This window comes from Homo sapiens, chromosome 3 (genome assembly GCF_000001405.40).
Source record: "Homo sapiens chromosome 3, GRCh38.p14 Primary Assembly".
NCBI classification, from domain to species: Eukaryota; Metazoa; Chordata; class Mammalia; order Primates; family Hominidae; genus Homo; species Homo sapiens.
In genome coordinates this window covers 41,378,363-41,403,580 of record NC_000003.12, presented here as the reverse complement: position 1 = coordinate 41,403,580, position 25,218 = coordinate 41,378,363, and the positions used below count along the sequence as shown (strand labels likewise).

The 25,218-nt window shown below is 38.3% G+C and overlaps 1 protein-coding gene and 1 pseudogene across 6 annotated transcripts in view; both read left to right on the top strand.

The window, feature by feature from the left end:
- The window catches only part of ULK4 (unc-51 like kinase 4), a 715,505-nt gene that overhangs the window by 558,523 nt on the left and 131,764 nt on the right, over nucleotides 1-25,218 (top strand). For all 6 annotated transcript variants that reach the window (NR_136342.2, NM_001322501.2, NM_017886.4 and 3 more), the window contains one exon: nucleotides 5,317-5,502. Coding sequence is in view for 5 of the 6 variants with exons in the window: in NM_001322501.2 (NP_001309430.1) it covers nucleotides 5,317-5,502 (186 nt within the window). In the remaining variant the exon portion in view is untranslated. The remainder of the gene's footprint in view (nucleotides 1-5,316; nucleotides 5,503-25,218) is intronic.
- On the top strand, nucleotides 719-2,233 carry LOC107986076 (rRNA-processing protein FCF1 homolog; annotated as a pseudogene).

The window sequence follows — 25,218 nt, the reverse complement described above, 5'->3', positions numbered from 1 at the left end:
GAAAACAGGAAAACAATACAGAGAAATCAATGAAACAAAAAGCTGACTCTGAAAAAAAATCAGTACAATTGAAAAACCTCTATCCAACTGACAAAGAAGAGAGAAGACAGAAATTATCAATATAAGGGATGAAACAAGAGATGTCAGTGTATATCTGCAACCATTTAAAGAATAATAAGGGAATGCTGTGAACAATTTTATGTTCATAAATTCTGTAACTTGGAAGAAATGAGCCAATTCTTCCAAAACTACCAGAACTCAACCAACATGAACACTTGAATAGTCCTATAATCATTAAAGAAATTGAATTTATAATTTAATACTCCTAAAAAGCAAACTCTGGGCCCAGATAATTTCACTGGAAAATTTTACCAAACAATTACAGAAGAATTAAGTATCAATTTTATATAATTACTTTTTTTTTTTTTTGAGACGGAGTTTTCACTCTTGTTGCCCAGGCTGGAGTGCAATGGCATGATATTGGCTCACCACAACCTCTGCCTCCCAGGTTCAAGAAATTCTCCTGCCTCAGCCTCCCAAGTAGCTGGGATTACAGGCATGTGCCACCACGCCCGGCTAATTTTGTATTTTCAGTAGAGACGGGGTTTCTCCATGTTAGTCAGGCTGCTCTTGAACTCCCAACCTCAGATGATCCGCCTGCCTTGGCCCCTCAAAGTGCTGGGATTACAGACATGAATAGAAGAGGGGACATTTCCCAACTCATTTTATGAGGGTGATATTACCCTGATACTAAACTAAGACAAAGTCCTCTCCAAAAAAGACTACAATCAGTATCTCTTGTAAACACAAAACTCCTCAGCAAAATATTAGCAAATTGAATACATCAATGTATAAAGAGAATGAGCAGAGCAGAATTTATCCCAGATGTGCAAGGCTTGTTTAACATTGAAACATAAATTAATGTATTTTACCATATAAACAGGTTAAATATTAAATATTACACGATCATATGGATTGACACAGAAAAAGTAATTGACAGAACCACCAGCACTTATTCATGGTAAAAAGTTATCAAACTAGGATTAGAGGGGGAATCTTCCCAACCTGATAAAGGGCATCTATGAAAAATTTACAGCTAGCACCATACTTAATAGTGAATTACTAAATCCTTTCTCCCTAAGATTGGGTACAAGGCAAGAGTGTCTACTCACACTAATCTCATTTAACATCTTAGTGGAGGTTCTAACTAGTGTAGTGTAGGGTATGGAAAGAAATAAAAGGAATACCCGTTGGAAAAGAAGAAATAAACCTATCTGTATTTACAGGTGACACAATTATCTATGTAGAAAATGCCGAAGAATCTTGAAAAAGACTCCTAGAATTAATAAGTGAGTTCAACAAGTTTTCAGGGTACAAGATCAATAAACAAAATTCATCAAAATGTATACATTAAATATGTGCAAGTTTTTGTATATCAGTTATACCTCAGTAAAAAATCAATTTTATTTCTGTATACTAACAATTAATAGATTCCAGAAGAAACAAGAGTATGACGTGACCATGGGGAAGCAAAAGAAAACAAGGAAGTTTGCAACCATGAAGTGAATGCTTAGTCTCAGATCAAAGGCTTAAAGAAAAGGGTAGATTAAAACCTAAAAAGAAAGAAAAAGATCCTAGTGTGCTAAAGGAGAAGTTCCTCAACAGCATCCCTGTTTATTTTTCCAGTATATCACACAACTGGGCCCACCTTACTACATCCTTGTCGATAGCAACTTCATCAACTTTTCCATTAAAGCCAAACTGGACTTAGTGCAGTCAATGATGGACAGTCTGTATGCCAAATGTATCCCTTGTATAACTGATTGTATAATGGCTGAAATTGAGAAATTGGGGTGGAAGTATTGAGTGGCTCCAAGGATCATCAAGGGTCCAAGATTTGAACAGTTACCATGCACACACAGAGGAACCTACGCAGAAGACTGCCTAAAACAGAGAATAATTCAGCATTGTCACATTGTTGCCATGGTTGACCAGAGACCCTAAAAGAGGAATCCATAAGATTCCTAGAGTTCCTATCATGTACATTTCTAACCACCATAGATACAACACGGAACTGATGTCAGATGATTATGGAGCCCCTTGGTTCTAATTCTTACAAGACAAAGTTCCTCTGCCTTTCTCTTGTTACCAGTTCATTAAACATGCAGTACCATAGGACAACAATAGCCTTTCCAAGAATGGTGCTGGAGCAATTGGATACACAGTGGCAAAACAAAACAACAATAAAATCCTTTACCTAAATCTCATATTTTATATAAAAACCCAAAATTAAGTGGATTAAAGATGTAAAATATAAAACTATAAAACCTTTAGAAAAAAATATAGGAGAAAGTCTTCAGGACACGTGTTTCAGCAAAGAGTTTTTTGTTCTTGCCACCACAGCACGATTGCTAAGAGCTAAAACCAGTAATTGGACTTCATCAAAATTAACTTTTTTTTCTCTTCAAAAGACTCAGTAAAATGGATGAAAAGGCAAGCTACAGACTGGGAGAAAATATTTGCAAAACTATATATCTAAGGCGTATCTAGACTATTTAAAGAACTTTCAAATATCAAGAATAAAGAATCAAACACCCAATTAACAAAGGGCAAAAGTCATGAATAGGTGATAAGATGTTCACTATCAGTTGCCATTAGGGAAATGTGAATTTAAACTACAATGAGATACCACCATCTATCTAGCAGAGTGGCTAAAATAAAAAAATAGTGATAACACTAAGTGCTAGGGGAGATGCTGAGAAATTGGATCTTTTGTACATTGATGCTAGGAATGTAAAAAGGTAAAACGCTACAGCTGCCTTAGAAAACAGTTTGACAGTTTCTTAAAAAACTAAATATGAGTCTCCCATACAACCCAGCCATTGTACTCTTGGGCATTTATCCCAGAGGAATGAAAGCTAATGTTCACACAAAAACTTGTGTAAATGTTCACAGTAGTTTTATTTGGAATAGCTCCAAATTGGGAACAACTCACATTTTCTTTATGGATGAGTTAAACTATGGTACATCTATGTCATGGAATAGTACTCAGTAATAAAAAGAAATGAACTATTGATACACAAAAATTTGGATGGATTTTAAAGAAATTATGCTGAGTGAAGAAAACCATATATACAGTGTGATTCCATGTATGTAACATACTTGAAATGACAAAATGGCAAACCGGTGTGTGGTCACCAGGGGTTAGGGATGGAGGAGAGTGGGTGTTGGCTCTTACTATAATGGGATCCTTGTGATGGAACTCTTCTTTTTCTTGGTGGTGGTGGTTGTCACCAAATCTACACATGTGATTAAGTTACACAGAGCTAAATACAATATGTACAAACACACATACACAAAAAGATATAAAATTAGTAAAATCAGAATAAGGTTGATGGCTAAGGTTCTAGCTGTGATATTGTACCATAGTTATTATACAAGATGCTTCCATTGGGGAAACTGGGTGAAGTATATATGGAATCTCTCTGAATTGGTTCTTACAACTGCATGTGAACCTACAAACCTACAAATATCTCAAAATAAAAGTTTAATTCACATGCAAAAGAATAAAATTGGATCTCTACTTACACCATATATAAAAATTAACTCAAAATGCATCGAAGACCTCAAAGTAAAAAGCTAAAGCTATAAAGCTCTTAGAAGAAAACATGGGCGTGATTGGGTATGGTGGCTCTTGCCTGTACTCTCAGCACTTTGGAGGAAGACAAGGCAGGAGGATTGCTTGAGCCCAGGAGTTCAAGACTAGCTGTGGCAGCATGGTGAGACCCGTCTACACAAAATTTAAAAATTAGCAAGGTGTGACAGTGCACCCCCGTGGTCCCAGCTATTCAGGAGGCTGAGGTGGGAGGATTGCTTGAAGCCAGGAGGCTGAGGTGGGAGAATTGCTTGAAGCCAGAAGGTTGAGGCTGCAGTAAGCTATGTTTATACCACTGCACTCCAGCCTGGGTGACAGAGAGAGATGCTGTCTCCCAAAAAACAAAAACAAAAATAAAACATTCTTAGATATCTGTCACTGAAATCATACATATACCCAAGTATAAAAAAAAAGTTAGAGTTTTCAAAATTAAAAATATTTTTTACTTCAAAGGACAGTATCAAGAAAGTCAAAAGACAACTTGCAGAAAGGAAAAACCTTTTAAATTATGTATTTGTTAAGGGACTTGTATTTAAAATATATAAAGAACTCTTAGAACTCAACTATATAAAGACAAATGACCTATTTTTAAAATGGACAAAGGGTCTGCACAGACATTTTTCCAAAGATACGCAAATGGCCAATCAGCACATGAAAAGGTACTCCACATCATTAGCCATCAGGGAAGTACGTCTGAAAACCACAATGAGTTACCCCTCTAGACCTACTAAGATAACTGTAACTAAAAAGACAGATAATAACAAGTGTTAGTGAAAATGGAAATTTCATGCATTGCTGGTACAAGTGGCAGCTTTGGAAAACAGTCTGGCAGTTCTTCAAAAGGTTAAATATAGAGTTACTATGAAGCGGGTCAGTAGGTAAAGTTACAATTAAATAGGAGGAATATGGGTATGTCCTTTCACTGCACTATAGTTAATAATAATATATATTTCAAAATAGCTAGAAGAGAGGATTTGGAATGTTCTCACCACAAAGGATATATGTATGAGGTAAAGTATATGTTAATTACCCTAATTTGATTATTACACATTGTATATGTGTATTGAAACCTCACACTGTACTCCATAAAAATGTATAATTATGTGGCAATAAAAATAAAATAATAAAAAAAACTTTTTAAAAAGAAGAATATAGGACCTTCTGATTTTGTGCTGTTAGCTTTGTTTGAGCAACTACATACACTTTGAAAAAGATGCATTTAAAAAAGTATTTAGGCCAGGCGCAGTGGCTCATGCCTGTAATCCCAGCACTTTGGGAGGCTGAGGAAGGAGGATTCCTTGAACCCAGGAGTTCAAAACTAGCCTGGGCAACATAGGGGGACCACGTCTCTACCAAAAAAAAAAAAAAAAAATTAGCTGGGCATGATGATGGTGTGTGTCTTTATTCCCAGCTACTCAGGAGGCTGAGGCAGGAGGATCACTTGAGCCCAGGAGGTTGAGGCTGCAGTGAGTTGTGATCATACCACTGCACTCCAGCCTGGGCAACAGAGTGGGACCCTGTCTCAAAAAAAAAAAAAGTAAAAAAGTATTCAGCAGACTACTCAGGCTGACACCCCCATCAAGCCAAATTTTACTGTGTTTTTTTTGAGTACTAATACCGTCTTCAAGGAAATTTAAATAGTCTTATTTGTTAATTTTCAGCTTCCTAATGAAGATCCTGAGATTTTTGATGTTTCATCCAAGTGCCTGTCTATACTGGTTCAGCTGTATGGAGGGGAAAACCCGGACAGCCTCTCTCCTGAAAATGTGGAAATTTTTGCTCATTTACTGACATCCAAGGAGGACCCAAAGGAGCAGAAGCTTCTGTTAAGGATTCTCAGAAGAATGGTGAGTTCACACAGAAACCGGGGACACTGTGGGTGGCTTTGCTGGCAGCGACATGGACAGTGAGTAGCCATTTCTTGGACCTAATTTCAAATTTACAGAGAATTTGCAAGAGTTGTCAAGAACTCCCAGTCACCTTTCTCCTTAATCACCTGTTGTTGACATTTGTCATATACTGTTTATCTGCATATATACATACTTTTTTCTGAACCATTTGGGAGTAAGTTAGAGACATTGTGCCTCACACTCCTTAACATCTAAGTTTGTATTTCCTAAAATAAAATTGATATTCTGTTACTTAAGTAATCAAAATCAGGAAGTTTAACACTGATAAAATTCCTTTACCAGTCTTCTGTCCATATTCTAGTTGGGTCAGCTGTCCCAGTAACTTTCATAGCCTTTTTTCTGGTGTAGGATACAGTCTAGGATTATGTATTTTGGTAGACATGTGTCTTTAATCTGGAATAGTCTTTCAGTCTTTGTCTTTCATGATATTTTTGAAGATTATAGGCCAGGTATTTTGTAGCATCTCCCTGAGTTTGGGTCTGTTTGATGTTTCTTCACGATTAGGTTTGTTAGTACTCTAGAAGTAAATTGGTCCTTCTCAATCCATCATATCCAGAGGCTTTTGGTGGCTGTTTGCCCCTCACTGGTGGTATTAATTTTGATCACTTGGTTTAATCAATGTGTAGTTAGTTATTATTATTTTGTAGTAGTTGCAAAATGGAAATTTTCTCATCCCCAACATTTATAACTCCCAGCATTCCACTGTAAGGAAAAACTTTCCCTTCTGCTTCACTTATTTTATTTAAAAATGCATATATAGCTGACGTCTATTTGAAAGTGCTTTTGAAAACCTATTCTCTTTCTACAGTAAATCTTTCCCTGCTGATTTTGAAGGCCACTATTTACAGTAGCTAGTGTTGAAGTTAATAAAGGATGGGGGTTCTGTTCACCTATCATCTTCTGGTTTGTCAGTCTGTGTTCACTTCTAGATCCTAATACCTTGAGGTATCCTTTGGCAGGTGGAGGCTGTGGATGTTCCAGAGATGTACTCAAAATGACTTGCACCAATTTGATAGGTAGACAGTTGCAGCGAGTGACCCAGCTGAACCTGTATGACAGGTGATGGGTGACAGAACTAGAAGGGAGATAAACAGATTGACTCCTTCACTGCCATATTGTGCTTTTGTATGGGTGTGACTCCCCCCCAACCCCAAAACAAGACTTACTAATCTCAGCAGAGTCACTACCTGAATTGCAGGATTATGATGGTCTAGTTCAGTTCCCCAAGTGTGGGATGAATACTTCTGAGGACAGTAGGTCTTGGAGATGGTACATCAGCCTAGCACTAGATGATGTGGAATCACGTAGTGAGGCAGTTATTTCATTTCCATTTTCTTTTGGACTTTCTGGTTATTCAAGGCAAAAGCCTCAGTTGTTGTGTCTTTAACACCCCTCTAATCCTTCAGAATTTCCCTTTTTAACAGAGCAGGCCTCTCAAGCTCTCATCTTTTACAGTGGAGATGTTTCTTTAAAAAATTACTTTATGTAAAGAAAAAGGTGAGTCAATCTGAAGACAAGTACTAGAGACTATAATAATACAAGTGATCTGTAGATATGGCAAAACTGTGAATATGGTAGAGAATGTCAGAAGCTTGGAAAATATTGGTCTGATATCTGATATGGTTAAATTTTGTAGGGATCTACAGTCTCTTTGAAACTCAGGATCAGATTTTTTTTTTGAAACTTAGAAATTTCAGATCTTTTTGGCATGGTACTTATACCGTATATTATATGATGCCCATAGGAGACACTCAGGCAATGACATCATAAGCACAGTAATATTTCTGTGGCAAAATGTATGAATATTTACACCAGGCAGGGGTAAATAAAGACCAAACATGGGCTCCTGTGAGTTCAGGATTTTGCTACCGTATGTGTTTTTGAACAAAACTTACGAAAAAAAGTTTGGATTTTCAGAGCTTTCTAGATTTTAGAATTGCAGATATTATGGAAATAAGTTATGTTATTTACTAAAACACTGATCAAATTAATCATACAGATTAATTAATAAGACCCCAACTTGGTCAAAATCAACAGATTCTACCATCTTTTAGTTTGCTTTACTATTTAAAATGGCTTCTTTATAATATCTGACCTGCCTTATAGGGCCGGGTAGATTTTGTTTGTGGAAGAAAAGTTGAATCCAAGTGATTTTTACCTTTGTATGCAAAAACAGAAGTTGATGCTGGTGCTGCTCATCTATTTTCTTTTTATTGTGGTAAAATGTATATAGCATAAAATTTATCACTAGAATTATTTTCAAGTATATGGTTCAGTGGCATTAAGCATATTCACATTGTTGTGCAACCATCACTATTATCCATCTCCACAACTTTTTCATCTTCCCAAACTGAAACTCTGTGCCTATTAAACAATAACTTCCCACTCCTCCTTCTCCCAGTGCCTGATAACCACCATTCGACTTTCTGTTTCTATGAATTTGACTACTCTAGGTACCTCGTACGAGTGGAATTATACAATATTTGTCCTTTTATGTCTGGCTTGTTTCACTTGGTATGTGGCTTCAAGGTTAATTCATGATGTAGCACGTGCTAGAATTTCCTCCGTTTTTAGGGCTAATAATCCATTGTGTGTGTATACCACATTTTAAAAATGTGTTATCCATTGATGGACATTTGTGTTGTTCCACCTTTTCTGTCCCATTTATTGATTTTTTAAAACTTATCTCTGTTATTATTAGGATTGGCTCATGAAGTTTTCAGTGAGTTACAATCCACGGCTGCCCCAGATTTGGCTAATGGGAATGGCTTTTGGATGTCTGCTATGTCATTTGACATTCTCCATCTTTTTTTTTTTTTTTTTTGGAGTGCTTTCAATCATAATGTGATATTCCAGGCTCATGTTGTATTACTGCTGCAGCCTTGGAATCAGGCATTTCTCCAAGAAACTGTGGAGCCTTTCTGTGTGGTGATTAGGAAGTAAGATGCAAAAATGTTCTGCATTGGGATCACAACAACTGTTTGCTTAGCAACAATAACAGAAATAGCCTGGACAGTCCCAAGAGTTAAAATATACTGTTTTCTACCCTCTTCTGGAGGGTACCTGTGAAGGTCACTCTAACTCTTTGATGTCTCTTCTTTAGTTGTTCAAGAATGCCCATAATGTTTACAGGCCTGCCATCTGTGATAAATGCCTCAAAATCTTCCGAAAGCTTTCTAGTTTACCCTGGGTCAGTCAGTGTTGGGCCAAGTCATATAAAACATACAATCAGAGATTCTAGGGGCCCCAGTCAACTCAGTTGTGGTCTTGAACTTGCCCATCCTGAAGCTCAGTTCTAATTAAATGGAATACAGATGGCCTCCAATTTGCCAGGGTTCAAATTCGGATTTCTCAACTTTGCACTGGTGCAAAACTGATGCTCATTTAGCAGAAAGTATATTTCAAGTACCCATACGACCATTCTATTTTTCACTTCCAATATGATCTTCAATAAATTACGTGAGATATTAAATATTACAAAGTAGGCTTTGTATTAGATGATTTTGCTCAATTGTAGGCTAATGTAAGTGTTCTGAGCACATTTAAGGTATGCTGGGCCATGATGTTTGGCAGGTTAGGTGTACTAAATGCATTTTCGACTTACATTATGATGGGTTTATTGGGAAGTAACCCCATCTGTACTGAGGTTAGTACACTTGGAGAGAAATAGCAGCAGGTTACCCAAAGAGGAGTGTGATACTACCTGTCTCATGCTTCTGGACTGATTTAGTCCGTCTTCCTCTTTGTCCTTCTGCTGTCTGTTTTTAATTCTCTGGCAGCCATTGTTTTGTAATTGTTGGCCTACTTTCTGTTCTTATCTTTACATTACCCTTGTTCCTGGGTAGTAATGTGGTCGGTCTTGTTATTTGTTGTTATCTTCAGAATGTGATGGTGTCTGACGTGTAAAAGTTGTTCATCAGTTGTTGGTTACTACTTGTGGTAGTCTCTGTGTTAGAATTTTTGGTACATTAAGCTCCTTTAATCTTGACAACATCCCTGGAGATCAGCTCCAGTGATTGTTCCCAGATTATTACCATTTTATAGGTTATAAACTAAGGCTCAAGGAGCTTAAATAATGTTCCCAAGACCACCAACTAGGAAATGGTAGAGCTGGTATCAAGCCCAGGTTGGATTGCTCCAGCCCATCCTCCTTCGAAGTAGCTGGCTCCAGGCTGCTGCTTTGCCAAGGACTGATCTGAGTTCTGCAGGCATTTGTCAGGCAGAATTGGACTGAACTTTGATCCAGACAGGACCTGAGAGATTCATTCTTTTATTCATAGAAAAACAAGTAATAGAGTTATGACTATGTGCAAAGCACTGCACCAGGGATAATGAAACAGTAAGACATGATCTTGCTGCTCCCTGCCCTCAGGGATCTCTAGCCAGAGAGACATGGAAGCAACCAGCTTCATTACAAAGCAAAATCCAATCAGTGCTATGGTGGAGAAGCCAAGAAAGTTCCGACGGAACAGTCATTTTGGGGAGGAAGTTGGCAAGACATGATGTTTAAAGTGAGTATGGAAGAATGTGTTGGTATTCTACACACTGAGCAGGAAGAAGCACATCCTGAGCAAAGACCCAGAAATCCATGGAGCCAGATTGGGAAGACATAAGACATGGGCCAGGAAAAGCCAGAGCTTTACTAAACATGAGCTTTAGGAGCATTTAGAGTTTAGACATTGTTGATGGAATTAAGGAATTCTGGTCTCTGAAACAAACGGCTGCTGGCAGCATCTTAATTGAATTAGTTTTCCTTACTGTGGAATGAAACTTTACCATAGTAGCTATCACAGAATAGGTATTTAGTATTTACTGAGCTGAATAAGGAATGTTCATAAAATACAGCGGTTTTGTTATTGGCAGTTCACTTGTGGTCTTCAGTCCATATTGGGAGCTCGTGTTAGTACTTTGCAGACACATATAGGTCAGACTGAGAAGGACCATAAAAGACATCTAGTTATCCCATAGTCTGAAGCTTCAGTCTTCTCCACACAGCCCTGCCAAGTTTCTGAAGACTGCATGAGATTGGATATGCATATGGATAGAGGACAGGAGCTTGAGTGATATAAGGAACACGAGCAGAAGTTTCCTGTGACTTTGGGGAGACCCAACTCTCAGGCTTGGCTCACTGGAGCAGAAGAATCAGATTCCATAGAGAAACAGAGGCAATCGAGATTTATTACCTGGTGCCAGTAATTGGATTAAGGAGGCCTGACAAATGCATTTTCTTGACCATAAGAAGTTAAGGAGGAAAAGACAAGCTCCCTGAGGACCTAATCAGAGGATATTCATTAAGTACACACTCCCACCAGGAGCACATCTAAAAAGAAGAGTATTCTAAGCTGGTGGGGTCATCTCTTTTAAAGCCCTGATGGGAAGAGTAGCCTCCTGTGCCCAAAGCTGAGCGAGCCTGGGTGGATTCAGAGAGGGCAAGCCCAAGATATGTTTGACCCCATAATTTACAGGTAATGAGCATGTCAGTGACTGGTAAACCATGGTTGTTAGAGAATCATCTTGGGGAATAATGTAGCAGATCCCTCCCTATGAATCACAGAAAGGGCCCTGGATTCTTGACATTTCTGTTTAAAGTCCCAATCTTGTGACAATTACTTTCTAAAACTACAGTTTTCACTAACAAAGAAATAGGATGTTTAATTTCTGTTAATGGAGATGGGATGTGTTTTGCCTCTAGGGTGCTCTTTCTTATTTAGTCTGTATTTAGAACATCCAGAGAATGTTGAAGAAACCTAACGATTTAATTATCTGCTGTAATTGAACAGGAAGTTGGGAGGTTTTATAATTATACTTCCTGCTTTAGCTTTAAAAATGTGATGGAAATCCTTCAAGTGTCTCCCAAGTTTACCTTTCCCTTAAACTGGATATCAATGGGAGTTTTCCCAGGGCAATGATTGTAGATTAGCTACTTGTCTTTTAATTAAAGCTAGCTTACTCCAACACTCAAAATATTGACTACACATGAACCACCACAGATTTGTTCTGTGCCTAAAATTGGCTTAAATATATGCTATCGACTACTCTCTGAAAGCAGAAAAATAGTCCATGGAAGGGTGACTATAATATGCTGATGTTACTAACTCCCTGTCACCTTCTCACCCGTCTACCTGGTGCAGCAGAGGTGGAAGGAATGTGATTTGCAATAACTCTCTGAAGATGAATAGCATTAAGGATATGTTACAAATATCTATTCCATGAAGAATCTTTACCCTGTGGTCTTCAGAAAGTCTTGCTGTGCTCACCATCATTTTCCTTCTGATTTCTCATATAGGTATCGGCCCTTCTCATTCCACATGAGAACAGACGTGTTCTGTTGCTGAAAATGAGTGTAATATAGCATTTCCTTATGTACAGAGTCATTAAAGAGACCAGATGAGGAAACCAGGAATTCTGCAGCCATTCTTTTAATATTTTAGTACCAGGTTGGGTTGTAGAACTTAGAATCAGAAGAGGCACTCTTTCTACTAGATAGAAAAGTAAAGAAATATTCCTTGAGGTATAATAAAAAGGTAAAATTATACCTCTCTCCCTCCTGTCTTATTTTTCTTGGGGTTAAGACCTTCCATTCTTGACTTGTATTCTTAAAGGAAAACAGAATGGGGATTGATGTAAAACCAGTAAAATTTCTAAGAGAAACACTGTGTACCCAAATGAGTTAAAAGTAAATTCAATCAATTTTATATGCAATCTGGTTTTTTAGAAGATTTCCTAAAACCATGAGAGGATGCTCTTAAGCGTTTCTGAAAGAGATCTTTTCTTGAATCCATACACACTCATTTGTAGTTCCACTGGATAAGCATTCTCTGCCACTGATTGCCATAGGGTTTGCAAGTTAATTTGGGAACTTTTTGAATGATTTTGTTGTATCTGTCCAACAAAGAAAAGAAACATGAATGGACCTGGACGATAAATATGTTAAATGAAATAAGCTAGGCACAGAAAGATAAACATTGCATGTTCTCACTCATATGTGGAAGCTAAAAAAAGTTGCTCTCATAGAAGTAAAAAGTAAAACAGAGAGTTCTAGAGGCTGTGAAGGGAAGGGAAGGGGGATGGGAGGAAGGATAGGGAGAGATTTGTTAAAAGATACAAAATGAACTCAGCTCTGCACCAAGCAGACCTAATAGACATCTACAGAGCTCTCCACCCCAAATCAACAGAATATACATTCTTCTCAGCACCACACCGCACCTATTCCAAAATAGACCACATAGTTGGAAGTAAAGCACTCCTCAGCAAATGTAAAAGAACAGAAATTATAACAAACTGTCTCTCAGACCACAGTGAAATCAAACTAGAACTCAAGATTAAGAAACTCACTCAAAACCGCTCAACTACATGGAAACTGAACAACCTGCTCCTGAATGACTACTGGGTACATAACAAAATGAAGGCAGAAATAAAGATGTTCTTTGAAACCAACGAGAACAAAGACACAACATACCAGAATCTCTGGGACACATTCAAAGCAGTGTGTAGAGGGAAATTTATAGCACTAAATGCCCGTAAGAGAAAGCAGGAAAGATCCAAAATTGACACCCTAACATCACAATTAAAAGAACTGGAAAAGCAAGAGCAAACACATTCGAAAGCTAGCAGAAGGCAAGAAATAACTAAGATCAGAGCAGAACTGAAGGAAATAGAGACACAAAAAACCCTTCAAAAAATCAATGAATCCAGGAGCTAGTTTTTGAAAAGATCAACAAAATTGACTGTTAGCAAGACTAATAAAGAAGAAAAGAGAGAAGAATCAAATAGACACAATAAAAAATGACAAAGGGGATATCACCACCAATCCCACAGAAATACAAACTACAATCAGAGAATACTATAAATACCTCTAAGCAAATAAACTAGAAAATCTAGAAGAAATGGATGAATTCCTCGACACATACACCTCCCAAGACTAAACCAGGAAGAAGTTGAATCTCTGAATAGACCAATAACAGGATCTGAAATTTAGGCAATAATTAATAGCTTACCAACCAAAAAGAGTTCAGGACCAGATGGATTCCCAGCCGAATTCTACCAGAGGTACAAGGAGGAGCTGGTACCATTCCTTCTGAAACTATTCCAATTAATAGAAAAGGAGGGAATCCTTCCTAACTCATTTTATGAGGCCAGCATCATCCTGATACCAAAGCCTGGCAGAGACACAACAAAAAAAGAGAATTTTAGACCAGTATCCCTGATGAACATCGATGCAAAAATCCTCAATAAAATACTGGCAAACCGAATCCAGCAGCACATCAAGAAGCTTATCCACCATGATCAAGTGGGCTTCATCCCTGAGATGCAAGGCTGGTTCAACATAGGCAAATCAATAAACATAATCCAGCATATAAACAGAACCAAAGACAAAAACCACATGATTATCTCAATAGATGCAGAAAAGGCCTTTGACAAAATTCAACAACCCTTCATGCTAATAACTCTCAGTAAATTAGGTATTGATGGGACATATGTCAAAATAATAAGAGCTATCTATGACAAACCCACAGCCAATATCATGCTGAATGGGCAAAAACTGGAAGCATTCCCTTTGAAAACTGGCACAAGACAGGAATGCCCTCTCTCACCACTCCTATTCAACATAGTGTTGGAAGTTCTGGCCAGGGTAATCAGGCAGGAGAAGGAAATAAAGGGCATTCAATTAGGAAAACAGGAAGTCAAATTGTCCCTGTTTCCAGATGACATGATTGTATATCTAGAAAACCTCATCGTCTCAGCCCAAAATCTCCTCAAGCTGATAGGCAACTTCAGCAAAGTGTCAGGATACAAAATCAATGTACAAAAATCACAAGCATTCTTATACACCAATAACAGACAGAGAGCCAAATCATGAGTGAACTCCCATTCACAATTGCTTCAAAGAGAATAAAATACCTAGGAATCCAGCCTACAAGGGATGTGAAGGACCTCTTCAAGGAGAACTACAAACCACTGCTCAATGGAATAAAAGAGGATACAAAGAAATGGAAGAACATTCCATGCTCATGGGTAGGAAGAATCAATATCGTGAAAATGGCCATAATACCCAAGGTAATTTACAGATTCAATGCCATCCCCATCAAGCTACCAATGACTTTCTTCACAGAATTGGAAAAAACTACTTTCAAGTTCATATGGAACCAAAAAAGAGCCTGTATAGCCAAGTCAATCCTAAGCCAAAAGAACAAAGCTGGAGGGATCATGCTACCTGACTTCAAACTATACTACAAGGCTACAGTAACCAAAACAGCATGGTACTGGTACCAAAACAGAGATATAGATCAATGGAACAGAACAGAGCCCTCAGAAATAATGCCGCATATCTACAACTATCTGATCTTTGACAAACCTGACAAAAACAAGAAATGGGGAAAGGATTCCCTATTTAACAAATGGTGCTGGGAAAACTGGCTAGCCATATGTAGAAAGCTGAAACTTGATCCCTTCCTTACACCTTAGACAAAAATTAATTCAAGATGGATTAAAGACTTACACGTTAGACCTAAAACCATAAAAACCCTAGATGAAAACCTAGGCAATACCATTCAGGACATAGGCATGGGCAAGGACTTCATGTCTAAAACACCAAAAGCAATGGCAACCAAAGCCAAAATTGACAAATGGGATCTAATTAAACTAAAGAGCTTCTGCACAGCAAAAGAAACTACCATCAGAGTGAACAGGCAACCTACAAAATGGGAGAAAATTTTCGCAACCTACTCATCTGACAAAGGGCTAATATCCAGAATCTACAATGAACTCAAACAAATTTACAAGAAAAAAGTGAACAACCCCATCAACAAGTGGGTGAAGGATATGAACAGACACTTCTCAAAAGAAGACATTTATGCAGCCAAAACACACATGAAAAAACGCTCATCATCACTGGCCATCAGAGAAATGCAAATCAAAACCACAATGAGATACCATCTCACACCAGTTAGAATGGCAATCATTACAAAGTCAGGAAACAACAGGTGCTGGAGAGGATGTGGAAAAATAAGAACACTTTTACACTGTTGGTGTGACTGTAAACTAGTTCAACCATTGTGGAAGTCAGTGTGGCGATTCCTCAGGGATCTAGAACTAGAAATACCATTTGACCCAGCCATCCCATTACTGGGTATATACTCAAAGGATTATAAATCATGCTGCTATGAAGACACATGCACACGTACGTTTACTGAGGCACTATTCACAATAGCAGAGACTTGGAACCAACCCAAATGTCCAACAATGATAGACTGGATTAAGAAAATGTGGCACATATACACCATGGAATACTATGCAGCCATAAAAAAGGATGAGTTCATGTTCTTTGTAGGGACATGGATGAAGCTGGAAACCATCATTCTCAGCAAACTATCACAAGGACAAAAAACCAAACACCGCGTATTCTCACTCATAGGTGTGAATTGAACAATGAGAGCACATGGACACAGGAAGGGGAACATCACACACCTGGGCCTGTTGTGGAGTTGGGGGAGTAGGGAGGGATAGCATTAGGAGATATACCTAATGTTAAAGGATGAGTTGATGGGTGCAGCACACCAACATGGCACATGTATACATATGTAACTATCCTGCACATTGTGCACATGTACCCTAAAACTTAAAGTATAATGATATAAAAAAGAAAAAAAAAGATACAAAATTACAGCTAAATAAGAGGAATAAGTCCTAGCATTCTATACCGTTGTAGGATGACTATAGTTAATAATAAAATAGTTTCAAAGAGTTGTAGGTAGCTAGAGCTAGAGAAAGATATTGAACATTTTCAACACAAAGAAATGATAAATGTTTTAAATGATAGATATCTTAATTACCCTGATCTGACCACTATACATTATATGTATCGAAACCTTACTGTGTACCCCATGAATTTATACAGTAGTTATTTGCCAATTTTTTTTAAAGTCTATCAAAAAAAGAAATATACTGCCTAAAATTTTTACATAATTCCCTGAAGAGATATTCCTGAGATATTGAGCAAGACGGATTCAGAAAGTGGCTAGTGGAACAGAGTCATTTATAGCCAGTCCTTCTCAGGACTCAGACCTCAGTATTAGTATTGATAAAATGATAGTCCACCTCAAGAGCCTTGAGGAAATATACAGATCTTTACCATAGGTATCGACAAGATCACATGTCACAGGATGTGACAGAGAAAGCTTTCTTAAGATCCATCTGAACATGTCTCATTTCCCCACACATCAGCTCTCTACTTTCATCCTTACTTGCGGTCTCCTCCTAGTATCTGCAGTTTGATTCCATATAAGGATGTATGATCCAGAACCATTGCAAGAGGCATTTAATAGGAAAAATCAACCAGGTCTGGTGACTAATTGAGTATAGGTCTCTGAGGCAGGGGAATGTGAACTAAGTTTGGCTCTAGATTTATGGACCACAAATGGAACGCAAAGGGTCAAAAAAGTTTTAGGTAGTTCTGGGTTCTCTGGTTTGGCTGTGGCTCCAATTCTCCCTCTGTTCTTATACTCAAGTGATTCAAACATTTCTTTCCTGCCTGACTTTTGAGAAAACTGGAGTTTGTGGACGCCACTTCATAAGAATTCCTAATCCTTATACCTGGGATATTATTAGTACCTTCAGTAGAAGTAGAGAAAAACCCATTTAATATGATAAGTTTAATTTTACACATGTTCAGTTAAAAATGACAAATAACACCTTGAAAAAGTGATCTGGTGTTTGAAAATTAGGGTGGGTGAATGTGAAAGCAGGCCACAAAATGAAATGCAAAATTAGACTCTAGTTGTAAAAAAAGGAATATGTATATATAAGAGTTATCAATATTGAGATAATAGCTAAATCCGCAAGAGTGGAGTCATTAATTTGTTCAGCAATAGTATATTGAGCATCTGTTTTGAGCCAAACGTGGAAGTGCTGAAGATATAATACATGAAGAACAAGACAGGCAAGCCCTCTGCTCTTATGAAGTTTATGATCTGAATGGCTGAATACAGTATATTTCTTCCCAGAAATGGTATAAAGGATAATAATAAGCATCCAGGCTTGCGATTTGGAAAATATTGTCAGTTAAGGAGGTTGAAAAGTTTCATGTGTGTTTTAAAGACAAAACAATGTGAAAGTCAGCTTAGTGGAATAGAAAGAATGTGGCCTAGGAGCCCAAAGCCCTGGGTTCCAGTCTCAGCTCTCCAGTCAACTACTTGTACTGCCATAGACAAGACACAACCTCTCTAAGTTTCACTGCTGACAAAGCAAGCAAGTTGATTGAGATTTGTGTTTTTCCAACTACACATCATGATCCACTGCAAGCAATTTAAAGTTTCACGGTGTAGCATTTGTTATTTAAATAAAAATGAAATAGAACAGAATAACAAATCTTAGTGTATTGTTCATAGGATATTGCTTTGTGAAACTTTTTTTCCCATTTTCTGCATCTGTTTGCACATGTGGCTGTGCATACCAAGTTGTGATATGATTTTTCTTTTTAATTTTAGAGACATAATTTCACTCTGTTGCCCAGGCTAGTTGCCTTCCCTTCCTATTTTTTTCTCCAATCTGTCATTTGTAGCCCCTGTGCAGCATAATTTTCCTTCTGTTTTGATTTCTTTTCTCAAGAGATTCAGCTCCCCTACTCCCTTCCTGTAATCCTAGCAGATAAAATTTGTTCCCTACTCTCTCTACAGCATCTTCTGCTCTTTCAAGTTTCTGTTGCCATTGATGATAGTTTTACTCTTCTTTTTATTAAAAAAAATCTCAAAATCCAAGAAAAGTTGAAAGAATCATAGGACGGGCACCTGTGTAATCAAGAATTATCGTTTTACCATATTTCTGTTGTATGTATGTGTTTTCTAAATCATGTGAAAGTGAAGACATCATGACACTTGATCTCTAACCATAATACCATTATCACAACTAAGAAAATTAACAATTTCATATCATTAATATCTACTTAATACTTTTTTTTTTATTTTTTGAGACAAGGTCTCTCTGTTGTTCAGGCAGGAATGCAGTGGTGCCCTCATGGGGACTGCAGCCTTGACCTCAGGGATTCAATTGATTATCTCACCTCAGCCTTCCGAGTAGCTGGGACTACAGGCATGCACCAGCATGCCCAGCTAATTTTCTTTTTAAAAAAATAAAAGCTGGGTGCAGTGGCTCACGCCTGTAATCCCAGTACTTTGGGAGGCCGAGGTGGGTGGATCACCTGAGGTCAGGGGTTCCAGACCAACCTGGCTAACATGGTGAAACTCCATCTCTACTGAAAATACAAAAATTAGCCAGGAGTGATGGCGGGTGCCTATACTCCCAGCTACTCAGGAGGCCGAGGCAGGAGAATCGCTTGTACCTGGGAGGCAGAGGTTGCAGTGAGCCGAGATCATGCCACTGCACTCCAGCCTGGGTGATAGAACGAGACTCTGTCTCGAAAAAAAATTTATATAGACAGACTCTACAAGCCATACCACCCTGAACGCACCCGATCTCATCTGATCTCAGAAAAATAGAAACAGGATTTCCCTATATTGCCCAGGCTGGTCTTGAACTGGGCTCAAGTGATCGCCTGCCTCAGCCTCCCAAAATGCTGGTATTATTAGTTGTCAAAAAATGACTATTATAGTCTTTTTTTGTTTAAGTCACATTCCAACCAAGGCTCGCATACTGAATTTATTATTTCCTTGTCTCTTTTAATCTAGAAGAATCTTTTTTTTTTCCATATGAAATTGACTTTTTGAAAAGCCTGAGTCACTTGTCTTATGGAATATCTCATACTCTGGAGTAGAATGATTGTTTCCTCGTGATATTTTGGGTCAGAATGTCCCATTGATAGTGGCCCCTTATACTATATCATATTAAGAAGCATGTGATGTCAGTCATCTCCATTTTTAGTGATGCTAAGTTTAATTGCTTGGTTAAGAGGGCATCTGACACATGTCTCCACTATGCAGGTGTGTGTTACCCTTGCAATCACTAAGGCATGCTTGGAGAGATACATGGAACTCTGTGAATATTCTCCTATTTCCCACATTGACTTTTTAAAGTAAAGGGTAAAAACTATAAAATTTTGATAATATTTATGGAACAAAGTGGTTAATTTTAATGCCTGAGGGGAAATATTTAAAATGTGGAAAGGACCAATCTACTATTCTTGGTAACAGATATAATAACTCTCAAAAAGGGAGAAGAGTTGCTGAGAATACTGCTTCCTTCTCTGATATTAATTCATTGAGAATCTGCCCAGTATAAGTTGTAAGTAAAAAGCTAAGAGTCCCTGGTGCTTTGCATTCTGCAGCCTCTTGAGAACCAAGGGGAGTGGTGGGAGAAACACAAAAGAAAGTTTACTGTGAGGGATCATTTATTTATTCAATCCCTGAATATTTCCATTTAAAGGGAATTATTATCTGGTTCTAATAATAGTAATTGTAAGTTCCTATGGCGTTTTCCTGATGCTTAGTAATCATTTTGACCATCACCAACTTAACCGTGCAGCTTTTGCTGCGCAGAATGCTTCAGGTTCCTTTGGTAATTTGGGATGTCTTTAGTGTCATGCTCTTAACAAAACCAGTCTCAGAACAATGAGCATTTAAAGCATGTTGAGTATTAGAATGAATATGTTTGAAAAATACTTCCAGGCCAGGCGTGGTGGCTCATGCCTGTAATCCTAGCACTTTGGGAGGCCGAGGCAGGTGGATCACCTTAGGTCAAGAGTTCGAGACCAACCTGGCAAACATGGTGAAAACCTGTCTCCACTTAAAATATAAAAATTAGCCAGGTGTAGTGGCAGGCGCCTGTAATCCTAGCTACTCGGGAGGCTGAGGCAGGAGAATCGCTTGAACCAAGGAGGCGGAGGTTGCAGTGACCTGAGATTGCGCCATTGCACTCCAGCCTGGGTGACAACAGTGAAACTCTGTGTCAGAAAAAAAAACAAGAAAAAAAAAAAGAAAAAGAAAAATACCTCCTTGTGGTTGTAAACAGCAATGGCAATTTTTTAAGGGGCCTTCTCTTATGAAAGCCTACACTAAATGTTTTTAAATTTTGTTTTTTAAATAATTTAACTACAATTTTTCTTTAATCTATATTAATTTTAAGAAATGAATTCCATTAATTGAAATAAACAATAACAAATATCCACATTATGTTCATAGGAATATATCTCTTTCCTTAGCAAGATTGTTTCCAAGTAGATAGGCTATATATAAAGCAAATAACCAGAGTTTGGTGTCAGGTTTTAAGTAATCACAGAAAAATATAAAGATAAAGAGTATAGTTCAGTTGATATTTACAATATTTATCCAAGAGAGTATTTTAAGTTCAAGCTGTTAGATAAGTTGAATTGAAACATTATCATGTAAAGTACGACCTCTTGTTTTTTTTTGTAAACTAGTATCTTGAATTCAGTCAACAGAACTATTCAACAAGGTTTAGGTATATTATTTTATAACACAGGAGTTTCTTTTTGTTCTAGAATAAGTGATATTAGAAAACTAACCACTTAATATAGATTCATTTAAACTGGCAATAACAATTATGGTAAATAATGACAACAGGTTTCATTGGGATTTAATCTCAAAATATGAAACTAACATTTATCAAAGTGAATTTATTTTGTCTTTTAACAATATTATGAAGTCATTCTAATGAGTTATTCAGCATTTTTCAGTACCACACAGAAAAAGTCCTCAGTAAGACAGAGTGACCATTCACTCAACAAGTAAATATTGAGTGCCTGCTCTGTGGCACACATGGTTCTCAATGTTGGGGATACAGCAGGGAACAAGACAGACAGAAAACCCTGCTCTAATGGAGCTTACTAAGAGAGTGACATGATAGCCACATTTATTAAGTAAACTATGTGGTATTTTACATAGGGAAAGCACTAAGAAGAAAAATATAGAGAGAAAGGAAGAGAGGAAAGACAACAGGCTATTTGCAGCTTTTAGATAATGTGACTAGGGAAGGCCTCTCTGAGATGACATCTGAGTGAAGACTGAAAGAAGTAGAGAAAGCAGCCAGGGAGTGTTTGGAGCAGGGAAATAGCAAGTGCTAAGGCCACAAGGCAGGTATATTCATGGTATGTTCTAGGGACTATAAGGAAGCCCCTGTGTCCAGAGCAAATTGAGCAAGAAGGAGACAAATAGGATGTGAGGGAGACAACAGGGAAGGGTGTCGTGGAGGAAAGAGGTTACAAAGGCCCTGTAAACCCTCGTAAACACTGGTCTTTATCCCCAGTGAAGTGGAAGCCTTTGGAGGGTTTTGAGCTGAAGGGAGAGACAATCTGGCTGTTGCATTGAGAGTAGTCATTGAAGAGGGTGAAGGATAAGAGATACATGTCAGGGGGTTGCTGTATCAGCAGAGTCCTGATCATGACTTGGAGGGGGTAAAAAATGGTTATATTTTGGATATATCTTGAAAGCAGAACCAACAGAATTTCCTGACAGATTAGTTGGAGACTATGAAAGAAATAGTCAAAGATGATTCCAATTTTGGCCTAAGACAACACTGAGATGGCTAAAACTGTAGGAGGAGCTGATTTGAGGGCAGAGAGAAAACCAGGAGCTCAGTTTTGAACATTTTACATTTAAGATGCCTGTTGAACATCCATCTGGAAATGGCAAGCTAGCAGTTGGCTCTATAGGCCTGGAATTCCAACAGAAAGAGGTCTGGACTAAAGCAGAATGGTATCAGAATGTGGAATGCTTGAATGTGGATTCCGGAAGGGTTGCCAGTTAATGGTAGTGACCAGGTATAGGTTAAAATGAGGAGAGTGAATCAAGTGTGGAGGACGACAAGATCACTGGAGGGAAAGCCAAAGAAATGAGTAGTTTTGGAAGGACCCTCTCTATGGACTTTGAAATGACCAAGCACTCGATAAAGGTGGTGTTGAAGACACTGACAGTGAGCTGGGGAATGGGAGTGTGAGCGACCTGATAACCCACAGATAACTGCCACAGGTAAGAGTAGAAGGTGTTCTCTGGTGACATAAGATTTAAAGCTGGGGGCAGAGGGGCAGGGGATGCATGGAGGAAGGGTGGAGAATGGCCGGGAAGCAGCAGTGAGAACCAAGGAGCCTTCTCCAGGCCCAGCAGCTCAGGGGCATGAGACACATGCAAGAGGAGCATATCACGCGGGAAAAGCCCAGTTTCAGTTACAGCAAAGTGAATGGCGCATCCTGGAAAGAGACTGAGGATAAAGGAAGTCCTGCTGGTGACTCTGTCCAAAGGGCACAGTGAATAGAAGGGATTCAAGAGGAGGGGTAAAGATAAGAATCAGAATATAGGATGTACAGAGCCTCATAGAGATGAGAGCCCAGGGGAAGAAGGCTGACCTGGGGGGCCTGGGCTTTACATGGCGACCTGTATAAACTTGGACACAATGAGGAATGAGATTGGCCTTGACTGTCCCAGGCCAACTGGATGGGTGAGGCCGTGAGTGAGCTGTAGGGACCTTGCTGGAGCCTGAAGAGTTCTGGGATGACTCCTGATTCCAGCCAGGACAGAGGTGACCTCCACCCAGAGGGCCTGTGTTCCCTATCTCCCTGCCTCTGGGAGTCAGTAGAGATGCAGTCTTACTCTGACGGTATGGTAAGAAGGCCTGTAGATGGACCTTTTTCTCCATCACTTGGGGCTTTATCAGTGATTCTAAACTTTCTTGTATGTCATCTTTCACATTATCAAAATTGCACAATGGCACGTTATAACATTCTTCATATGTAACCTTTCCAGCCCCATCATAAAAATGAGTCTCTTTTTGTAAAACTATGTAAGATCTTCCTCAGTTTTCCATTGCTATTCAAATTAGCATTCCCTTTTGAATTGCCTGTCTTTTGAATTGTCTTGTCTTCACCCTTGAAGAGATTTTTCTCTTCTCCAGCTGTTAATCATCTAGTTTTGTGTTTATCTGTCAGACCCTCACTCATCAAAGACTTTGGTGTAATTTTTCTATCATCACTGGCGCTGATTTTATGAAATCTCACATCTTGTGCAAGATTTTAATTTTTTTCTTCACTTGGGTATGTGAGCACATGACAGCCAACTACCCAACAATTTCTCAGTGCACTTGTTCATGCCCCTAAAGACTTGGGCTTCCCTAATCAATCAGACTTCCTGGGAACTAGGGAATTAAAAATAAATATTTATGTAATATGTATCCTCTGCCACTCTCACTACCCATTTAGCATAGCAAACCTATGATCCCACATGCATGCATAGTTTCTTCTTAAGAATTTGCCTTTAAAATCAAGCATCATAGTAAGTGACCTTTTTGATCTGTGTCAGTGCACATTTACTTTGATTTTTAAAAAATATTTTGGCTTGTAGGGGTGATGAGTAAGGTTGAGCTAAACCACATGGTCTCCTTCCAGTCTTTCTGCTTAGAACATTTAGGAGATGGCTGGGCAAGGGTTAGTGCCCCAAACGTATGTCATAGATCAGGTCTCATTGGCATTTTAGGCAGTTGTGCCAAACTTCCTAGACCGGTATCCCAGTGATGGCCATGAAATTGTTATTGAGGCTTGTTTAACGTTTTCTGTTTCAGGGATTAGTCTTTTTCAACACCATTGTTCAAGGAAATGTTTTGAAAGTGTTCCTGAGAATTATTTCTCATGGCATCTTGATTTCCTTTTTCAGTTGAAAGCAAGCTGCTATCATGACCCTCCCTGAAGCAAGTAATGATTAGGGCTCTCATTTCAAATTATTCTGCCTCCATTTCCAATTTATGCATATAACATTTTTATCCATTCTTCAAAGAAAGTCTCAGAGTTCCATACAGTACATGTATTTTTTAGGATACTGAACACTTTTTTTTTCTTTTTTCACTATTTTTTTTTTAAATACTTTAAGTTCTGGGATACATGTACAGAATGTGCAGGTTTATTACATAGGTATACATGTGCCATGGTGGTTTGCTGCACCCATCAACTCGTCATCTACATTAGGTGTTTCTCCTAATGCCAGCCCTCCCCTTGCTTCCCATCTCCCGACAGGCCCTGGTGTGTGATGTTCCCCTTCCTGTGAACATATGCTCTCATTGTTCAGCTCCCACTAATGAGTGAGAACATGCAGTGTTTGGTTTTCTGTTCCTGTGTTAGTTTGCTGAGAATGATGGTTTCCAGCTTCATCCATGTCCCCACAAAGGACTTGAACTCATTCTTTTTTATGGCTGCATAGTATTCCATGGTGTAAATGTGCCACATTTTCTTTTTTATTTTATTTTGTTTTATTTTTTATTATTTTATTTATTTTATTTTATTTATTATACTTTAAGTTCTAGGGTACATGTGCACAACGTGCAGGTTTGTTACATATGTATATATGTGCCATGTTGGTGTGCTACACCCATTAACTCGTCATTTACATTAGGTATATCTTTTACTGCTATCCCTCCCCGCTCCCCTACCCCATGACAGGCCCCGGTATATGATGTTCACCTTGCTGTGTCCAAGTGTTCTCATTGTTCAGTTCCCACCTATGAGTGAGAACATGTGGTGCTTGGTTTTTTGTCCTTGCGATAGTTTGCTGATAATGATGGTTTCCAGCTTCATCCGTGTCCCTACAAAGGACATGAACTCATCCTTTTTTATGGCTGCATAGTATTCCATGGTGTATATGTAAGTGCCACTCATTTTATTTTATTTATTTATTCTTTTTTTCTTTTATTATTATACTTTAA